The sequence below is a fragment of the Homo sapiens genome, chromosome 11, assembly GCF_000001405.40.
Source record: "Homo sapiens chromosome 11, GRCh38.p14 Primary Assembly".
In the NCBI taxonomy this organism is placed as follows: Eukaryota; Metazoa; Chordata; class Mammalia; order Primates; family Hominidae; genus Homo; species Homo sapiens.
This window is the reverse complement of record NC_000011.10, coordinates 83,476,787-83,497,584: the sequence shown is the minus strand read 5'-3', so window position 1 is coordinate 83,497,584 and position 20,798 is coordinate 83,476,787. Positions and strand designations below refer to the sequence as shown.

The following is a 20,798-nucleotide window of genomic DNA, read 5'->3' as shown; positions in this document are numbered from 1 at the left end:
AGAAACTATGTGGGTTTTGTTTTGTTTTTTGTTTTTTGTTTTTTGTTTTTGAGACGAAGTCTCTCTGTGTTGCCCAGGCTGGAGTGCAATGGTGTGATCTCGGCTCACCGCATCCTCTGCCTCTCAGGTTCAAGCAATTCTCCTGTCTCAGCCTCCTGAGTAGATGGGACTACAGGCACATGCCACCACACCCAGCTAATTTTTGTATTTTTCGGGGTTTTGCCATATTGATCAGGCTGGTGTCGAATTCCTGAGCTCAGGTGATCCACCTACCTTGGCCTCCCAAAGTGCTGGGATTACAGGCGTGAGCCACCACGCCCAGCCGGTATGGTTCTTATTCTTCCATTACTTCTCCCCCCTTTCACCAGATGTTCAGTTATTTTGTTGTGTTTGTTTTGTTTTGCTTTGCCCACATTTTCTCTCCATACTCATAGTAGAAATCATTGCTCAACATTTTGGTTCCTGCATTCATTCAGTGAGTATTGAGTACCTGTCATGCTCTCAATCCCAGAGATACCAAAATGAAAGTAACATGTTACCTGCTATTAGATCATAATGTGATAGGAGAGAAATATATAAAAATAAGTGGCATTCACTGTGACAACATTGGGTAGAACACCTAAGCATAACCTTAAAAATGCTAAGTGTTTGTGAGATGGACAAAGAGAAAAGAGTTTCTAAAACCACCTCCTGAGACAAGATATAGAAGATTAATCTATACATATTTAGGAGACTAGCATGGGCTGGAAATACAGTTTTGGGAGGTGTCATGGTTACAACCATGATAATATATGGATTAGACATCCTTCCTAACTCTTCCACTGATTTGATTTCTACCACCATAGCTTAGTTTTGCCTGTTCTTGGACTTACAGTCATTGGAATTATCTATCTGTATTCTTTTGTGTCTGCCTTCTATAATGCTTTTATGGTTCATCCATGTTGTTTCCTGCATCAATAGTTCAGTCCTTTTTATTGTTGAGTAGCATTTCACTGTATGAATATACCGCAATGTATTAATTTACCTGTTGATGGATATTAGGGTAGTTTCCAGTTTGAGGTAATTGTGAACAGTCTTGTAAAGATACCTTTTTGTGGACATATGTTTTTCTGTTAGGTAATTTTCTAGGAGTGAATTTCTAAGTCATACATTAGTTATATGATTACATTTACAAGAAGATACCAAACTATTTTTCAAAGTAACTGTATCATGTTGCATTTCCACCAATTTAAATGAGAGTTGCAAGGGCTCCATGTCTTATTAACACTTAATATTGTCAGTCTTTAATTTTAGCTACTCTGGTGGGTATCAAGTGAACTTTGGCTTTAATTTGCATCTCCCCGATGACTAATGATGTTTTTCATATGCTTTCTGATCACTTATATATATATATATATATCTTATGTTAAATATCCAGTCAAGTCTCTAGCTCATTTTTTATTGGTTTTTCTATTTATTTTTCAATTGTAGGACTTTAAAAATACTTTGAATAAAAACTTTTCAGATATATATATTGCAAACATTGTTTCCCACTTTGTGACTTGTCTTTTCATTTTTTAAATGACTTCTTTTGAAGAACAGAAATTTTTAACTTGGGCTGAAGTCCAGTTTAACAACTTTTTTATTTATCATTTGTGCTTTTTACATTCTATCCATAAATCTTTGCCTACCTCAAATTATAAGTATATTGTATGTTTTCTTCTAGAAATTGTACAGTTTAAGCCTGTGTGTTTAGATCTGTAATCTATCCCTTAATAATTTTGGTGTTTGGTATGAATTGAGTCAAAGTTTATTCTTTCCCAAGTTGCTCCAGAGCATTTGTTGAAGCAGTTTTAGCTATGGGACATCCAGGTGGGCATGAGTGAGAGGTTGGACTTATGAGAGTGAGGTTCAGGAAAGCAGCCTAAGCTGAAAATATTGTTTTGGGGAGAGCCATAGTTATTATAACTATGTTAATAAATGGGTACGACAATTTCTAACCTCACCAATCTTCCTCTTTAATAGCAGCAGACAGAGAATAATATGTCATAAGTACTATGGTATGGGTAAAAACAGGTATATAGAGTTCTGTGACAACTTAGAGAAGGATACTAACTCAACTTCAAGTTGAGAAAATGAGATGACCCTTAAGCTCAGTTTTGAAGATAGAGTACTTCAGCAGGATAAACATGAGGTGGAGTGGAAGGGCAGTCCAAAATTAGATTGTTTTTGTCAATTACAATTCTGAAGTAGATAAACAAAAGCATGGCAAGCACTCACTGTATTCTCTGCTTGATGTCTCAGGTTTTTCTGATAATAGCATGTCATTCTTTGGAGAATACCTCTCCCTATACCTCCCCCACTCCAACAGACACACACATCTACCACGGCGAAGTAATTTTTATGTCCACATAGACCCTGCCCACTGCCACCACTGTCATAATTAGATGACACAGAGCTGAACATCTAATCCGTTCTGAGCACATCAGAGATCTTCCCTGAGATTTTTTAGCTTGAACCCAAAGAGTGCTAGAGTCACTCACTGGTTTAGAAACTATAAGAAAGGGAGCTTAGGATTCAGTGGTAGCTGTGTTTGCCACCATGTAAAAGGGTCTGATCAGTAGGGAGAGAAAAATAAAGCAAACAAACACTCCAGGAGATAGAGTGAGTGTCCTGATTGCATTTGAATCTTCTATTCTAGTTCTTCATGTGGTTTAGCTGCATGTGGCCTATCTCATTTGGTTGTTCTACAGTTCCTCAGATTTGATGAGATTTTCTAGTATCCTTGCAATAAAATTCCTTTTCTTTATGGTAGTACAGGGCTGCCACATAGTCTGTGCCCTGCTCAACTTCAGGAGACATCCTTTTCAAACATAGGCACTGGTAGGCAGGGAGCTCCACCTAGAAGCCTTTAGAGTTCTCACCTCATCACTAAGGGCTAAGGATGGTGAACTGGGTGTCTCTGCAGTCTGGGGCAAGGTTGACAGGAATCATTTGTTTTAACTAAAAAATCCATACAAATTTGAGGATATTGTGTAAAAAAAAAAAAAAAGAAATAGGCAGTTCAACCTAAAAAACAGCCATAAACATGGTAGTTGTTCCTTCATCTTGTGGGACGTAGAGTCAGTCACTGTTTCTGAAATAGCCTCAGGTAAGTACCTAAGAGCCCGGCAGAGGAGTAATTTGAGAATAGAGCTAGGACAGCTCCTGCATCCTGGGATGGTGGTGGAGCTGGCATAAACTAAATTTGCGGGTTTACAAGAAATAATCTAGTGTGCCATTTAGTTGAGTGTTTCTGGTTAATATGAAACTTCTATTCAATACTGTTTTTAAAAATGGTAATTATCAGTACAATTCATTTTGGTTAGTCTATAAATAATTAGGACTTAAAGTGAAACTCAGATAGCAGTTTTATTTGCTTCAGCTCTGAGTTCCTGTAATACCTGCCAGAGCAGCTTGATGATGTGACAGGTCTTTAATCCACAGCGGCCAGGTGGCAGGAGCCACAGTAGGCAGACTCTAATGAGGCAAGATCAGGTCTCTTTAGTTCATAAAACCAGACAAGGATTTATGGTAGACAGTCATAGGAAACATGGGGTTTGAGTACACAGAAACATTCTGCTTTGATACCTTGGCTTTATTGCTTAACACTGGAAAACATCACATTCTCTTTAGATTGAATATTATTTGTTCAGCTTCTCCAGGTCCTAGTTGACAGTTCTATTATTGTTAAAGTCCCTCCCTAAGAACAGCTCCACACATGATGAATAATTGGTCAACTTGAAAATCCTCCCACTTTTTTACAAATAAGCCAGTTTCTGCATTGATCATTGATTTGTTTATTCACTAGCAGACTTTCTGCCAGGTACTAGGTTAGGGAGATATTGAAAATAATCAGTAAATGAAGTAAAAATAAGCACTTTACTTAAGGAGCCAGTCTACAGTTTAGTAGAAGACAGTCAAGTAAAAGATAAAAAATAGAGAGCAATAAAGGCCAGAATGTGGGGAAACACAAAAGGAGTTGGAGCATGTATTCATTCAACAAATATTTATTGAGTATATACTATATGTACATGTTCTAAGGCACCAGAGAGATGGCAGTGGATGAAAACACATTTCTTATTTTCAGGGAGTTTACATTTCCATGGGGAAAACAGAAAATAAACAAATGTGTATGCAGGCAGATGGTGATAAATGTTGAAAGAGAGAGAAAGGAAGGAAGGAAGGAAGGAAGGAAGGAAGGAAGGAAGGAAGGAAGGAAGGAAGGAAAGAAAGAAAAGACAAAGGAAGGCAAATAGTAATAGGGCCAGCACAATTTTAGACAGGCCTGTCAGAAAAAGCCTCACTGATAAGGGGGAATATGTGAGTAGAACTCTGAACGATGTGAGGAATCAGCCTTCTAAGGGAAGAAGATTACAAGCAGAGGGAACAGCAAGAGCAAAGTCCCTGAATCAAGATTCAAGGAAATCTTGAATTTAAGGATTCAAGGAAAAGCAACAAGGCCAATGTGGCAGGAAGACAGTGAGGCAAAGAAGGCACAGTGGCAGAGGAGATCAAAGTGGTAGCTAGAGCTGGATTATGGAGAGCCTTTCCAGCCATGTTGTACATTTTGGGTTTTATTCTGAATGAGGTGGGAAGTCACTGGAGGATCTCGAGCAGAATGACATGATCTGAATTACAATTTTAAATGATCACCCTGGCTGCTGTAAGGAGAATAAAGTGCAGCAGGAATAGGTGGAAGCAGGAACACCAGCTGAGGTCAATATCATGCTCCAGGCAAGAGATGGTGGTGACTTGGACTGGGGTAGTAGTGGTGGAGATGGTGAGAGGTGGTCAGATTATGGGTGTATTTTAAAGCTGAGAACACAGGATTTATTAACCAATTGGATGTGGGGTATGAGAGAAAGAGAGGCGTCCCTGCAAGTTTGCAGCCTGCGTAATTGGAAGAGTTAGAATTTCCCAAGTTGAACAAGACTGAGGGAGGACCAAGGTTTTTGTCTGCTTGCTTGGTGTTTATTTGCTTGTTGAGGGTTTGTGGAGAAGACCACGTGTTTGGTTTGAAGACTATGTATTAGATATCTAAGTAAAGATAGTGAGTAGGCAATTAATTGGATATATGAGTCTGGAACTCTGGGAAAGTTTCAAGCTGGAGACAGGGAAGGCTCCTAGCTGGGGAGGGAGGGAGAGGAGACTCAAAAACTGAGTCCAAATACCCCCAATTTTTAAAGACCAGAAAGATGAAGAGGGATCCAGCAAAACAGACTGAGGACAAATGCTATATGGGGTAGGATGACAATGAAAATGTGGAGGTGTACCAGAGTTCAAGGAAGCAAGCGTTTCAGGAAGAAAGATATGATGAACTATGTCTAATGGGAAGATCAACAGAGTAAGATGAGACCTGAGAATCAACATTTGATTGGGCAACATGAAGTTCATTGGTGGCCCTGAATAAAGTGGTTTAGATAAGTAGCCAGGAAACTTTTTCTGTAACGGGCCAGAGAGTAAATATTTTAGGCTTTGCAGGCCATCTGATCTTTGCTGCAAATACTCAATTCTGCTGCTGTAGCACTAGTCATAGGTAGTACCTACGGAATGAGCATGGTTATCCTTGAATAAAACCTTATTTACAGAAACACATAGTGGGCTGGATTGGTTCATGGGCCACAGGTCACTGACCTCTGGTGTAGATGATGTTACGATATTTGAAGTGTGATTGAAGTAAGTTCAGAAGGGAAGAGAAGAAGGGATAACTTTGGAGGAGTTTTGCTGTAAGGAGAAGCAGAAAGATCTGAGTGGTGGCTGGAGAAGGGTGCAAGATGAGAGAGAAGAGAAGGTCTCTATTTCCTTGGGAGAAATAAGTATGACATCTCAGACAAAGTGATGCTGTAGATGTCTTGGGCCTCAACGTTAAGGAAAACATCCTACTTACTATATGCATTAGAGTCATCGTAAAATCCAGCATATAATTTCAGCTACTCCTTAGCTATACTGGGCTTGGTCTCTATGCCCTTTGGTTACCTGAGCTTTTTACTGGAATTGAGCCTCCCCAACTTAGACTGCTGACTGAGTGATGTGCTTTTATTTAGCATGATCAGTCTTAGAAATAACATAAATGGGGGAAAAATAAAACAGGTTTCATCTGGGATTCCATTTCACAGAACTTAATTAGAATGATTGGCATCTTGTGATTTTGATTTCTTCCTAAGCAAAGAACTCTAAATTGAATTTCATTTTTTGAGATCAAAAGAGGATTAGCTCCCACAGTTTCATAAATAATGAACCCAGTTCTCAGCCTTCACTAGGCTACAAGTGATAGTCGTTGGGATTTGATTTTTCCCTACTTTTCTGATCTGCTTCTTTTTCTTATTTCTAGGTACAGGTAGCCCCTTGTGCTTCATGCGAGTTGGAATTGTTTTTATTCCTGGTGTTAGATTTGAAGTAGTAACAAAAAAAAAAAAACAGAAAAAAAACTATAAAAAGGAAACAAACATTTTTCCTGCTATTAGCTACTTTTATTAAGTATTTTTAAGGCATTGCATTAAGTGCTTTACAATTCATCTTTTTTCTTATCCTTATTATGAAAATTTTTAAACATATAAAAAGTAGAAAAAGTAGAATTATGAATATATTTTACCTGTTACTAAGCTTCAACAATTACCAACTCATGTTGGTATAATCCGCTGAATTGAGAGAAAGTTGTAGAAAATATGACTTTTTATTTTTCTGACTCAGGACTACACATTGCATTCTGTTGGTCCTATTTCCTTATCTCCTTTAATCTAGAATGATTCCTTAGTTTTTATGGTTTTCATGACATTGACATATTTTATAGTTTTCATGACATTGACATATTTGGCAGAAATACTACAGAAGTGATGTTGTGTACTTCTCAGTGTTTTCCATCAGGAGGCCCATGGTGTCATGTTGTCCCACAATTTGGCGATGCTAATTTTGATCACTTGATTAAGGTGATATTTACCAGATTTCTCCACTATAAAGGTATCTTTTCCCCTCTTTTTAATAATTAAATAATCTGGGAAGAGATAAATATCCTATTCCCCAACAAACTTTCAACCAATGCTTTAGGCATCCACAGATGATTCTTCCCTAACTTGACTATTATAGTGATGATTACAAAATGGTGATTTCCTGACTTTATCCTTCCTTCTATAATTATTAGTCATACTCTAAAGAAGAGCTTTTCTTTTATCCCATTTTTAGTTACATCATTTATGTATTTTTGGTAATCAGAGTGAACTCAAATTTTTTTAATTGAATGTGTTATACTTTATTACTGTCGTTATTCATTTTAATATTCAAATTATCCAGGTTTTGTTTGTGTCTTTTCATATGCTACCATTCATTTTAGGTTTTGTTTATTTGTTTTGTGTTTGGTGTCATGTTTATATTTAATACTGCTTACTTTCTAGCCCCACGAAATGTTTCAGACTCACCTTATACTTTCTCTGCTCCAGCCTTGGAATGAGCCATTTCTCTAAAACATTCTAGGTTCTTTTGTGGAAAATGGCATCCAGAAGACAAAATCTGAGTAGTGAATGTGCATTTTGCTGTTAGGGTTTCATTACATCTAAGCTCCTTTAATGGATAGAGAAGAAATAAAACTTTTTAGAAAATCCTAAGTTTATATCTCATGCCTCTAATTACTGGTCACCATCTTAAGAGTCTTCCTCTCCTTCCTCCGTACCACGTTTGTATCTCACCTTTCTTTCACAGTGACAACCCTGGTTCCCAACAACATCCATGTGTTTACTCATTTACTCAACCCTACAGCACACACCAAATGGTTTCAGAATTGTCATCCCTGTATCACAACCAGCAATAAACCTGTTAAGTGAAGTTCGAGGCTTCTTTACAGATCTACCTTCACAATATACTCAGGGGGTACATAAGTACTACATCCCTCCCATATTAATTTGAAGCAATCCAATGCATCAGATTTTTTCAGCTCTTAATATTGCAATATGGCATGACCATAATGCCGTTATTACACATAAAAATTGACAATTAGTGGATCAACAAGTATCCAGTATTTTTTCAGGGCCAAATTGGCTCATAAGTATCACAGATGGGTTTGGTTGTTGTAATTGTTGCTTTGTTTTGTTTTATAATTTGTTTGTTTGAATCAAGATCAAAATGAAGTCTATACATTGTAACTGGTTGATCCTTCTCAAAGTTTCTTCTGATCTATGTGTTTTCCTGCCATTTTTTATTGGTTTCTTGCAATTTTATATAGATGAAATCAGATAGTTTGTCTTGTAGAGCTTCCCACATTTTGGATTTTGCTGATTGATTGCATTTTTATAGTAGGAATTACCATGTTTCTCTGTCCTCTTTGTTGCTGTAAACTGGTAGTTCAATCCAGAGGTTTGGTTAGATTCTGATTCATTTGAGGGAGTTTTGTTTTGGGAGTAAATAGAGGTTTTCAAGACTACCTTGTAATATTTTATTCTTTTATCAGAAGGCGTGAAACATCTGACTGTCTCTTTGTGATTGTAGCAGCTACTGATACTCAATGCCTACATCCATTAGTTCATTAGGTTTGCAGAAGTAATCTTTTTTTAATTAGGCAATGTTATAGACACACATGTATACGTGCATTCACATAGACACATTTCTGTAAGCAGATATATCTCAAGCCAACTCTTATCTTTCCCTTAACCCCTCTTTGTTACATTATTACTTGTTCTTTTACCTCACTTGTTTTCAAAGTTCTCTTTTTATGTGTGTGAAAATAAGATTTGTATAATACAAAGTAGTGGCCCAAATGTACAGTAACAACTTTCCCAGGGGAACACAATTATTTTAGAGGAGAAACAAGGAGAGGAAAATAGCATGTATAAAACAATAAGGGGGTCACAGAAAAGACGTATCTGAGCTCAGTATAAATTTAAACCTAAATTCTGCCCAGAGAACACCTGTATTACTAAGATGACATTTTAGAACTATGAAACTTTTTTAAAGCTTGAGAAATAAGAACAGGAAGATGAGGAGAAAAAGTAAAACATGTCCCTAGTTTTAAGGTTTTCTGGATGAGAAAGATAAAATATGTCAAGATTCACTCATGTGTGTTTAAAAACATGAGATTTGAGTAGGAAAATAATTTGAGTTTTTTGTTTTGTTTCCTTCTTTCATGAAGCATGTATTTTATCTTAAGCCAGTTCACCAATGCCATTACATCTCAGAGTCAGGCTGGGCAATTTCATGCCATTTGACCTAACAACCTGGAGACTTCTGAGTAATAGTGACTCCTAGTATGGGTGTTCTAATGTCTGTCACAACATGAAAGGTATTCATTTAACAGAGACAAAACAAAATCAGATAAACAAAAGACATGTAGATCTAATTGATTGCGAGGGTTGGAATGAGTGGTTTACTCTCATTCAATTAAAGATAAAAATTATTTACACCAAATAAAATTAGAAACCGGCTACAATTGTTTCTTCTCAGTCCATACTATGAGATTGGGGAGAGGGTCCTTTTTTAAAAAGAAATGGCTTTATTGAGATATAATTCACATAGTATACAATTCACTCACAGTATACAACTCAATGTTTTCTAGTATATTCATAGAGTTATGCCACCATCACTGCAATCTAATTGTATAACAAACATTTTATCTCCCCTAAAAAAAACCTTGGCTGCCACTTCCCAATCTCTGTGCCCACTATCCCCAGCTCTAAGCAACCACAATTTACCTTTGTTTCCACAGATTTGCCAGTTAATGGGCAATTACCTTTTAATTGCCGTTCATGGCCTGTCACACTTAAATTCTTTCCTTTTTTACATTATCATAAAAAGAAAAATTGAAGAAAGTCCAAAAAATATGAATGACTATCACAAAAATTGTAACAGGATAACCAAAATGATGTTGTTGAATCCAATAGCATCTGATGATTTAAATAAATAATCTTCAAGCATCAAGCTGTGGGAAGAACACACTGTGATATCACTTAAGAGAGTCAAGCACTAATAATTTTAAATATAAACTTGAAGCAGGCTTAAGTTGCAGAAACTTGTCATGCTCTTAAAAACAGTGATATTTGCAACCAGGAATATTTGCAAATTCAATTTCTGACTTCTCTGCTCACCAATTGTGTGACTCTGGGGCAAGTAATAGAAGATTTATACACTTCAGATTCCTCTTCTGTAATATGGGAATAATGATGGTACTAACTTCATGAAGTTAGCATGGAGATTAACTCATGTAGAGCTTTTGGAACCAAATGTGGCACATAAGTGCTCAATAAATGTTTGTTAGTTATTGTTTTATCATCTTTAATAGTTAGAACTCAACATTTTAGGTCAAATTCCAAAATAGAATTCTTAGATTTGCCAGCTTGCCCCATGCCACATTTGATTGGTATTTTCAAAGTGTCTATTTAAAGATGTTTCCTGCTATGAAAGCAATGGATCTAGAGCTAAGATACTGTCACTAGAGAGACAAAGAATATCATTGATCAAGTATAATTGAGAATAGGGCTGTAAATCAGCCATCAGTTGCTTCAGAACAATGTGTTCTACAAATAATAGCAGAATTGCTAATTTATTATTCTCACCTAGCACTCGTGTAACAGATTTTCATTTTCTATATTAAAAGAAAAAAAATTACAGCAGCAAAAAAGCTTATATAATGGTATTACACATGTCTAATAAAAAATAAAGAATACTGTTAAAGCATTATAAACCACATATAGTCTCTCTTATAGTTGAAATGTTTAGCTAAGATCCTAAACATGTGACTTTTAAGTCTGTGAATGTGAACTGAAATTGTGATTTGGTTTTTTTGTCCACAAATGTAAGGAAATGTAACCACCAATACTTCCATTCCCTTCTCTTTAATTCCAATCTGAAATGGCTTTTGCTAATAAGACTGACATGTTAGATACTTTTATTCTTAAAGTATTAGTGTGTATTTTCTGTTCTTTTGTAAAGTGTGATGCTTAGTAGTATTATGTCCCAATCAGATGATTCATGATACACAACATTTTCATACTTGGGAAATGTTAACACATTATAGTCCTTGCTTTGAAACATAAAAGAATTAATCACAGATAACACATTTTCATATTCCTTTGACCCTTGAGACCATTTAAATGATGTGGCTTGCATGCAGCCCCATTTTGGGCCCTCAAAGCCTTCTGCATTGTCCCTCTCTGTCTACATTTTCACCCCAGGCTTTACTCCTCTTGGCATTGTTTTGTATTTGCATGAAAATGTGTAATTTTTTTTTTTTGCATGACAAGTCATTGGTGATGTTGAAGTTAAATGTCTAACATACCTTGCAGTATCACATGCCATTAATTCTTACATGATTTTTTTTCTTTTATTTTCAGTTACTGGAGTTTAAATATGCTTGAAATGTAAAAGTGGCATGAAACTGGAGTGATGCAAGAATATTTAGTATTCTTTTAAGGACTATCATTTTTAACTAGGAAAATTTGGGGGCAGTTCTCAACCTTGTTTTTGGACACCAACCCTAAATTACAATTGATGATAAAACTATATTGAACATAGGTGCTGTCAGCAGAGTAATAAATTCTGAAGTGATACCTCTTTTCCCTCTGAGAATGTAATTTTAGTACTTGAATGTAAAGTATATGTCCCCTAATTTCAGAAATTATTAATTATTTGGTTCATTATTTTTCATAAAACCTTATTAATGGGCATACAATTGAGCTCTACTACTTTGCTGAAAGTTTCTACTACCTAAAAAAGTAATGAATTACTTACCGAGTGACAGCACCAACATTTCAGTACTTTAATGTTTCCTAAATGAACATGGTTACCAAAATGGATATTTGATATGGGAATGTATGAGTATACAAAGAAGATAAGTTATTTATACCATTTTGTCAAGCTTCAAATCCATAAGGGCACAGGACTCATTCCCAGCAATGGGACAAAAGCGCACATCCAAACAGGTGTCCTTTCCTTCTAAGGGTCACCTTGCTGCTCTACATTTATTCTTAACAGCTTCCATTGCCAAAAATGTTTTTGAATACCTGTTTTCAAATTGCCTTCAGAGTCTTTGGCACCTTCATTTCAATAGCCGTGTGGTAACAAATCTTGATCCTTGGGGAGTGATTTTAATTTTTTCAGCAGCTGAAAGACCCTCAGAGCCAAATCAGCCAAACAAGGGTAGTAGTCAATCTGATGAAACATATTTTTTAATGATATATGAATATGAAATTAGTAAGACCTGCATGGCCAATAACTTATAAAATGACTGTCAACACATTTCCCAAAGAGAAACCCCACAAAACATTTGCATAAGAACAGCAGCAGTGGAATTAATGGAATTTCCTTAGGGAGTCTTCTAGGTAAGCACATGATATCCACTTGAATGAATAAATTCTAATGCCTGTATCGTATTATGTATCTATGTGTTATTTTTAATTCAGCCTCATTTAAGCTAATGGAATAGTTTAGTTAAAATTTTTAAAGACAGTCATTCTTACTTTTTTTACCTGATCAGAATCTAGAGTGACTGCCATTTTTCCTTTGATAAGTTAAGTTAATATCAAGTTAATACCCCTTTAGCAGCAATTTTAACAGATTTTGGTTGATTGCCTCATGGCTGTCACCAACTAGCTCTGTGATAGCAGTATAGGACACAACTTCTCTGTGCCTCTGGCTCCCTGTCTATAAAATGAGGGCTTGGGGCTAAATTATTGTTAATTATTGTTAAAAATCTCTTTTGAATAAAAATGTTGTATTCTAATGATTATATATTCATGTGTCAGTCTGTAATTATACCATAAATCTACATACTTCTTTGTGCAGTTTTAATTTAATTAAAACTAAACAGAAGTAACTCAAATTCAAATTATTTTAAAAGACATCAAGACACTAAGAAGAAAACCAGTTTCTCCAATAAAGCGTTTTCTACCTGATGGTGATAAGACATTTGTATAGCACTTTATGTTTACATTGTCTTTTGTGAGTCTCACAACGTAAGAGCTGCTATCATTGTCCTCATTTTGCAGATGAACATACTGAGGTTCAGAGACATTCAATTCCCTTTCTAAGGTGATGAACTAGCAAGACGTAGAGCCAGCACAAAAAATTCAAAAAATTCTGGGTCTTCTCCTTCTAATTTAAGACTCTTTCCCTCCATCACCATTTATCTGTAACCAGTCTTTTGCTTAGGAGACAATTTTTCCAAGGTGCCACCATTCAGAATTTATACTCCTTGAAAATAAAATCGACCTTTAGAACTCTCTGGCACCACTTTAGAATTATCCACTTGCGTCACTACAGCTCTCTGTGCTTTTACAAACTAGTTGTTTTGTCAGCATGAGTGTGACAACAATTAGACGTCCCCTGTTTTTGCCCCATGCCTTTTCTCCTTCACAGTCATTCAATGACAAGCGTAAAAAGAGCTTCATCTTTTCACGAAAATTCCCATTCTACAAGAACAAGGAGCAGAGTGAGCAGGAAACCAGTGATCCTGAACGTAAGTAGATTCTGAAAGATAATGTCACATGCAACATAAGAGAAAAAAAATTCACAGGCAACACGCAGGATGTAGGCTCTCCCACGCCACACACCTAGGCAAACAACACAGCAGGCAGGCAGGGCAGGTCTACTACTGTGACCAGCGTCTGACTACAGTCTGGATCCCTCCTTTCACATGGCTCTTCTTTGCAGAAGGCATTGGAGAGAGACTTGCCAAAACTGGGACTTGCACCCAACCAACATTTATCTTTGACCAGGACTGGGTCCGGTTTGCCTTTTCTATCATGCAACCCTCTAAGTCTTGAGACAAATTATTTTCTGAGAAGAAATATTGGATTCCATTGCCACATATGTTTTTTGGAATGTTAGGAACAATTAAATTATCTTTATTGATTTAAAGATAAACTAGCACATTTGCTCACTCTTTCCCTCCCCCAAAACACTAAACACTTTCTGAGCACTGAGCTTGTAATGGTGGATATCATTTAGAATTTGCTATGAAATTTGGAGAAGTTTATTCCTTAAGTGGGACATTTCTGTGGCAACGTGATTGACCATGGTCAAAAAATTGGCATTTGCTGAATTTTTTTTTCTTACAATCTTTTGTTTAAACCTTGAGTTGCTCTGCAAATCAGAAATTTCCTTCTTGAATCTCAGCTCAAGGAGTTTGGGGTGAAAGTTTTTTTAAAAGAAGAGAGAATGGGATCCAGATTGTTAAGGCAGCACGGTCTGTCATGGTAGTATTCATTTCAACTCCACTGACTTCTTCCTTCCTCTTCCGTGGCTGTTCTTCCTCTCTCATTGCTCTCTCTGGGGACTTCCATGCAGGACATCCCCGGATTAGGTGACGACGGTTATGGAACAAAGACTCTGAGTAAGTTTCCAGGAATGGTCACTGTAACTTTTCTTTTCTTTTCCTTTCCTTTTGAGTTTGGCTTTTGTTCCTTTTCCTGAGGGCCTTTCACTCCTAGCATGCACAAGATACGAGTTTTATTTGTTACCTAGCTGTGAATGCTCCTACAAAGTAACTTTCGATCGTTTTGTTCTGCATGTCAGCATTTAAAAGCAAAATGTATCAGGCACTCTAACTTCTGTTGCAGTTAACACCATCCCTTTCTGACCATGTGATATTATCAACATGGTCCTGATGCCCACCATAGCATCACTTGCTCTGCCGCTTAATACCTCCATAGAGCAAGAAACCATGTTGAAAGAAAGGGTGAGCTAAGTGTTCTAGAACAGCAAAACAGAAATGTACTTTATGTTCTTTCTTCTGCCTTTTCACATGGAAATATTTAATGACCTTGTCAAATCTCATAATTGGGTTGCACTTTGCTGTTAGTAAAGGAGCTGTTTCGTAGTCAAAAGGAACATGCATTCTCTAAAAGCAAATTTTAAGCTACTGGAGATTCCATGAGTATTTATTTATTTGTTATTAACTTTGATTTTTTTTTCTGACTTGCGGTGATCCTGCTTGAAATGTTTAAAGTTTGGATATGTAATAATATGCCTATCAGTGATTTATTAGCTACATTATAAAATCAGGTCTTCACTTTATAGCATAGAGTGAAAAAGAAAATATATTAAGCCTTTACATTTTCTAATTGTTCATGTATTTAGTCTGTATCTGATTGCACTAAGCAACTAAAAAATAATTATCCTGTGTCTTAATATACTACATTATGATTTTTCCTCTTTAATAACTAACCCCATTGTGTAGGCACCAATGAAATGAGAACAGAGTTTTGTGTCTTTTGCAACTGTATCACATGTTTAATTTTTTTTGTTTTGTTGTTTTAAATTAACAGCTATGGGCAATATTTTTAGAAGCTGTTTATTTGTATAAAACAAAATTGCATTGAACTGGACTTTGTTTTCAAGGGCTCTTTCTATAACCCTGAGTATTGATACTCCTCATAATTCAAATTGTTCATTTGGAGAGTTTTTAAAAGATATTTATATTTTTAAAAATCTGATCAAGAGTACTGATCTTAAAGATGAAAACTTTATTTTTGAGTTACTATATGGAATATGATAGAAAATTTTTCCTGAATTAGTGGCTGAAGTTTAAATATTGATTTCAGCATTATCTGGACAGCATCAAGCACCACCAGAGAGAATTTGTAAACTTTCAATTTGAGAGGGAAAAGAAACATCTTAATATATTGTTAATAATAAATATCACTAAAAAGTAGTGGCTTTTGGAGTGTCAGAAATAGGACACCATTTCAATCCAGAATATGCAAATGTTTGTTTGCTCTTTAAAAATTGAACAAATTTAAAAAGTAAAACTTCGCAACAACAACAAAAAGCCCTGTCTTACCCAATTCAAGGCACTTAAGATAATAATCTCCATGAAATGCACTATTATTGATTATGTGCCTTGACTTTCATTTTAGTAACAGAAAACAGATTTGCACAGGTTCATCCACACTTCTTTCCCTATTGCCTCTTTGCACTTGCAAAACATGTGCCCAAATTAGTAATGCAGTTCTGATCACAGACCAACACAAAGAGAAATGATTTGTGTGAATTTAACCCATGCTTTGGTTTTCATTAGTTTCATGCTTTAAAACTACTCTATCCAATTGGCAAGAATGTATGATATCAAAGCACTTTTTTATTGTTAGAGAATAATTTTATATATTATTTTTCTCTTTCTAAAAATGTATAACTATTGTCACTTTTTAAAAAACTGATGTTATTTATAGTGAGCTTCAGAAATCAAATAGTCACATGTTCTTCATTTAATTAAAGTAATATACAAATAAGTTCATAGACTGATGAGTGTATCATCTATAACTTAACAAGCAGTATGGATGAGCGAAAATGATTTTAGAAATAAGAGCTCAAATTCTGGCATATAACCAACACATCCCTGTTAAGTTAGGTGAACTATGTATGAAAAAACAATTTGGAGTATTGCTGTGCAAGCAAGTCATTCAGCATGAATTTAAAAAAAACATACTTCAGCCAGAACCTGTACCGTGTATCAGGCCATTTATCTCCTGCCTGTTCCATGCCACTAGTATTCAATAGCTATCCAAGCAAGAATCCTAAAATAAAAACAAGGAACTATTGAGCTGATTCGTAAAATATTATTCAGTGACTCACATCTTCCTCAAAGATTTTCAACTCACTCACTGAAGCAGAAAAGATCTTCAAGAATTCCTTTTCATCCTGAGAATGTGTTTAGGAACTATTTAAATAGAAATAAAATTCAAGGGATTCCAGGGATCAATTAGCAATTTGAGCAGCGTTCCAGCAAAATTCTTAAAGGCTAAAATTGAGAAATAAAAAAGCCTGCAAGAAAACACTGCCTACACACCAGAAGCGTCTGAATTTATAGTCAAGAAAACACTCAGTCAAGACATACTAGTCATTGTCACATAAATCTTGAAAGTCAGAGGTATATGAATGGGTCATAGTATTTTTCTAATCGCCTAAATTGACATTATGCATTTTTTGTAATTAAAGATACTTTCTTCATTTGCTAAAAAGAAGAAACAGCAATCAAGCAGCGGGTTCCTGTAAAATGGAGATAAAGTTTTCATCTTCTTTATCTTATCTGAGTTTTCTTAATGCAGCCTCCTCTGCGGCTTTTACTTGCCTTTCGCTCACATTTCTGGTAGCCTTGCATGAGTGTATTCCTTTCCGTTCTGGCTGCTCTTCAATGCTTGGTATCTCTTTAATTTGCTGTGCTGTTCTTGCAGAACATGTTTCTTCTAATGCCAGCGATAGCGAAAGTAGCTACCGTAAGTTACTGCTTTGGTTTGCGGTTATTTTCTTTGCAATTGCCCCATTGCCTGTGGTGGTCATTTCAGATTTCTGTTGTTGTTTTTCAATTGCTACCTTTTATCATCTGTATTCAAAGCAAATGGCTTGAAATGAAATCACTGGATGTGGAAAGATAAAAAAGACACTAGAGCCATCAGTGCACCCTTATGTGATTTGTGCAAGTAGTAGTGGTCTTGCTAATAAACAATTCCAACCTCAGTTGGTTGTGACTCAGTGATTCAATTCTCACAGAGAAGGTGTGTAAAAAGTTCAACGTGGTGGATTTTTACATTGTAACCCCCAAAATAATTGAAACTCTCAGCAGGAGGTGGAAAATCATCATGGTATTGTTTTCCTTCTTATTTTGCCATTTCCTTTCTGTTCTTGGCTCCCCTTTATAGGAAAAGCATTTATAAATAAAGTGTTCCTTTAAAATCAGGTTTGAATCTTTTACATCACTTTCTCTTTGATTAATCTTTTAAGATAGGATACTATGACATTTCTAACTTTACTTTTTTGATAATTGGGGAACTGATGGAAGAGTTTCATCCTCTAATGTTGAAGGAACTTAATTTTTTTAAATGTGACCAAGTCTTCTTAGATCAGAAAACTTAGCTGAAAAGGTAGGTAACTATTTAAAAGTTATTTCTGGTCTTTGTTTGGTCACCTCAAGCCATTTGCTTAGTGTATGAAACTATCCACCAAACACCGATCACATCCTTTTGATCAGTCCTCATGGTTTTTTACCACCTACTTACTTACTGGTTTTTGGTGACTAACATAGATACATATTTTTACTAGGATTCTTATGATTTCTATGAGATTAATTTATATTCCTTAGTGAAATGGGTTACCCAAAAAGCACGCCTAATACCTGTGACCCACAGATGCTAAGGCAGAAATTGGTGTTGTCTTTTGTTTGAATGAGTATTGTATTAATTGAAAACTAGAATTGTTTGAGGTTTTCCCCCCCCCGTTATAGCATGGTACTTTACAAAACCATGCCTTTTTGAGGTGGAAGGCCAAACAGTGGTACAACACATAATTTGGATTTTTAAGAAAGGCTTTGGAAAATCAGAGGGGTGGCAAGTAGGAGCAGCAGCACAAAAGTGGAAAGATGGCAGATGGAGGTAGGCTCAGAGAAGGAAGATGTAGACCAAGGAATAAAATGAAGAAAATTGTAATGAGATACCCTTGGTCAATCAAACGTTAGATTGATATAGGAACCACCTAATTTTCTTATTGATGAAAGTTTTATTGATTGATTGATAGAAGAAATTCCATCAATTCTTGTTGATGGAAGAATTCAGAAGGTTCTTGTTATCAACACGGTAACATGTCAACATTTTTACATTCTTTATACTTTTATAATTTTATTATTATCCTAATTTCAGAAAAAAAATTTGCCTCTCCCCTTTTTCATTTTATTTTAAACCAAGAAACTAAGCCAAGAAGAATTGACCAAAGCTTGTGTTAATAACACCTAAGCTGCCCTCAATTTAGTACGTAGAAAAATATAACTTATTTTCTGGGTTCCAGGAAGACCAATGACACTAGTTTCCTTGATGTTCAGTTTTCAATTTTCAAGTGTTGTGCTTCCATCCAGTAGACACAGGTATCGAAAAAGAAAGCATCATGCTTTATCTTTCAGTTCTTTTAATGGAAAATATATACTATACAAGAACTACCTTTTCTTATAAAAATCACATTTTTATAGAGTATTTTAAAGGCTTCTCTTCTCTGTTTCAGAGGTGGGAATATTTTTCCCAGAATTATTAAGTTATAAAAACTGGCCCAAGACTTTCAACTACTTGGCAGATTTTTAGAGTGATGTTCTAAGATGACATCAATAATTATTTTTACTCTAAATACTAGTTGCACATAAATGTTTATTGAATGAATAAAGGAAACACTTGCAGGCATCTCAAATTATCTATGAGAAGAGAGAAGAGTTGGAACTGGATTCTATGACATTAGTAGGGCAAATATGGAATCTAATTATCTCTATTGGCTTGAGTCTCATCCAAGGTTACAGAAGGCCAGCCACTCAGTTTGTTTTCTTTACAAATGAACAAAAGTAAGAAGAGTCTTTATCACAGCTCAGAGGAGAAAAATGACATGTATTCCTCCAGAATGGAAATATGAAGAATTCCAGAGGAATGTTTATTTATTCATTCGGTACCTACTATACATGAGGTCCTCTTCTTGGATACCATGAGACCCATTGTGAATATCAACTAACTCTAGATCTCAGCACACATAATAGTAGGAGAGAGATATAAATAAATGAAAAAGTGCACAAAGTGTGACAGGTACTAAGATAGATTGATGTCTGGCTCAAGAATAGTGGGAGCATAAGAGGTAGTTTCAGAGAGGAAGTAGCTTTGAGCTGAGCTTTGGAAAGATGAGGAACTTGCTAGCTAGGCAAGATGAGGAAGGAACTTCCCAGAAAGAGCACTGCCATGAAAAAAGACACACAGGTTTGGAACAAATATATTTTCCAGGAGGTACCAACTTTGAAGTCAAAATAGGCTGCATTTTTCTAGTGCATTCCTGGCTTTTGCTGTAATTATGACTAAAAATAGTATAAACAAATACAAAAAAAAACCCCTCTTTTCACCAATATCCAGGTGTTGTATTTCACTGTTATACTTTACCATTCCATATCCACTCTGGGAACAAAATGGCTAAATAATTGTAATAATTCAGAGTTAGAAACAAAGACCTAGGCCCTTGTGTTTCACAATCCATTGTGTTTCACAGTCTGGAGTACACCATTCACACTGTATCCTGGAGTTACACATCGTGGCAACCTTACTTCAAAGTCTTACATGTTTCCTGAGGTAGGCCACACACACATAGATACACACAAACATCAATTTCTAATAAATAGTTCAGATCTTTGCTGCATCATCTCAAGCATTATAAAATAGGTTTTCCAACTATATTTAGCACCAGCTAAAATTGCAGCTGATAAAGTGTACATTGTCTAATTGTGCAAAACACCACCTCAAAACTATCTTAATTATAGGCTAATTCTAGATTTATGTCAATAAAGTAGTAAAATTCAGCCTTGTATTTTTGGCTGTTCTGTATAATACCTTACAGTCACCCATGTATTAGGAGGTGGTAAATACTAGGCAAGTATATTGAGGACTATGCAAGCTTCTAAAGCTGAAGACATGCCTTCCTCAAAGCTCAGTAAAGCTCTTTACATCATCATGGATGTGTGCAAGCTGATAATTATCCTTCCAACCCATTAGTGCTCACCAGTTAAGTAGGATTTTCAAAACAAGGATCTTGAAGAACTAATCTGAGTGAAACTAACGTGTTGAGATCAGGAGACCCAAAACTTCTCCACTGGAGTCAGTCAAAATGGTGCATATTCTTCACCTTACTCTATTATTCTCAACTATTGCCCTTAGATGTCTTTACTCCTTTAGTCTTTATAAAGCAGTTTTTCATTACATCTATTATCTCATTTAATTTCTGCAACAAAACTATTTATTAGACATGTTTTACATTAATAGCCCCATTTCCATATGAGGAAGCCGAAGCTCCAA

At 35.8% G+C, this 20,798-nt stretch overlaps 1 protein-coding gene across 62 annotated transcripts in view; it reads left to right on the top strand.

Moving 5' to 3' along the window:
• DLG2 (discs large MAGUK scaffold protein 2) overlaps window positions 1-20,798 on the top strand; it is a 2,173,362-nt gene that overhangs the window by 2,130,789 nt on the left and 21,775 nt on the right. For 25 of the 62 annotated variants that reach the window (NM_001351274.2, NM_001351275.2, XM_047426498.1 and 22 more), the window contains one exon: window positions 14,287-14,332. The exons of 1 other annotated variant lie outside the window; for it this stretch is intronic. In NM_001351274.2, coding sequence (NP_001338203.1) covers window positions 14,287-14,332 — 46 coding nt within the window. Of the gene's footprint in view, window positions 1-11,333; window positions 12,730-13,356; window positions 13,457-14,286; window positions 14,333-17,171; window positions 17,214-20,798 lie in introns of those variants that run through there. 36 more of the 62 variants (XM_017017256.3, XM_047426494.1, XM_017017257.3 and 33 more) reach the window with 4 other exon arrangements.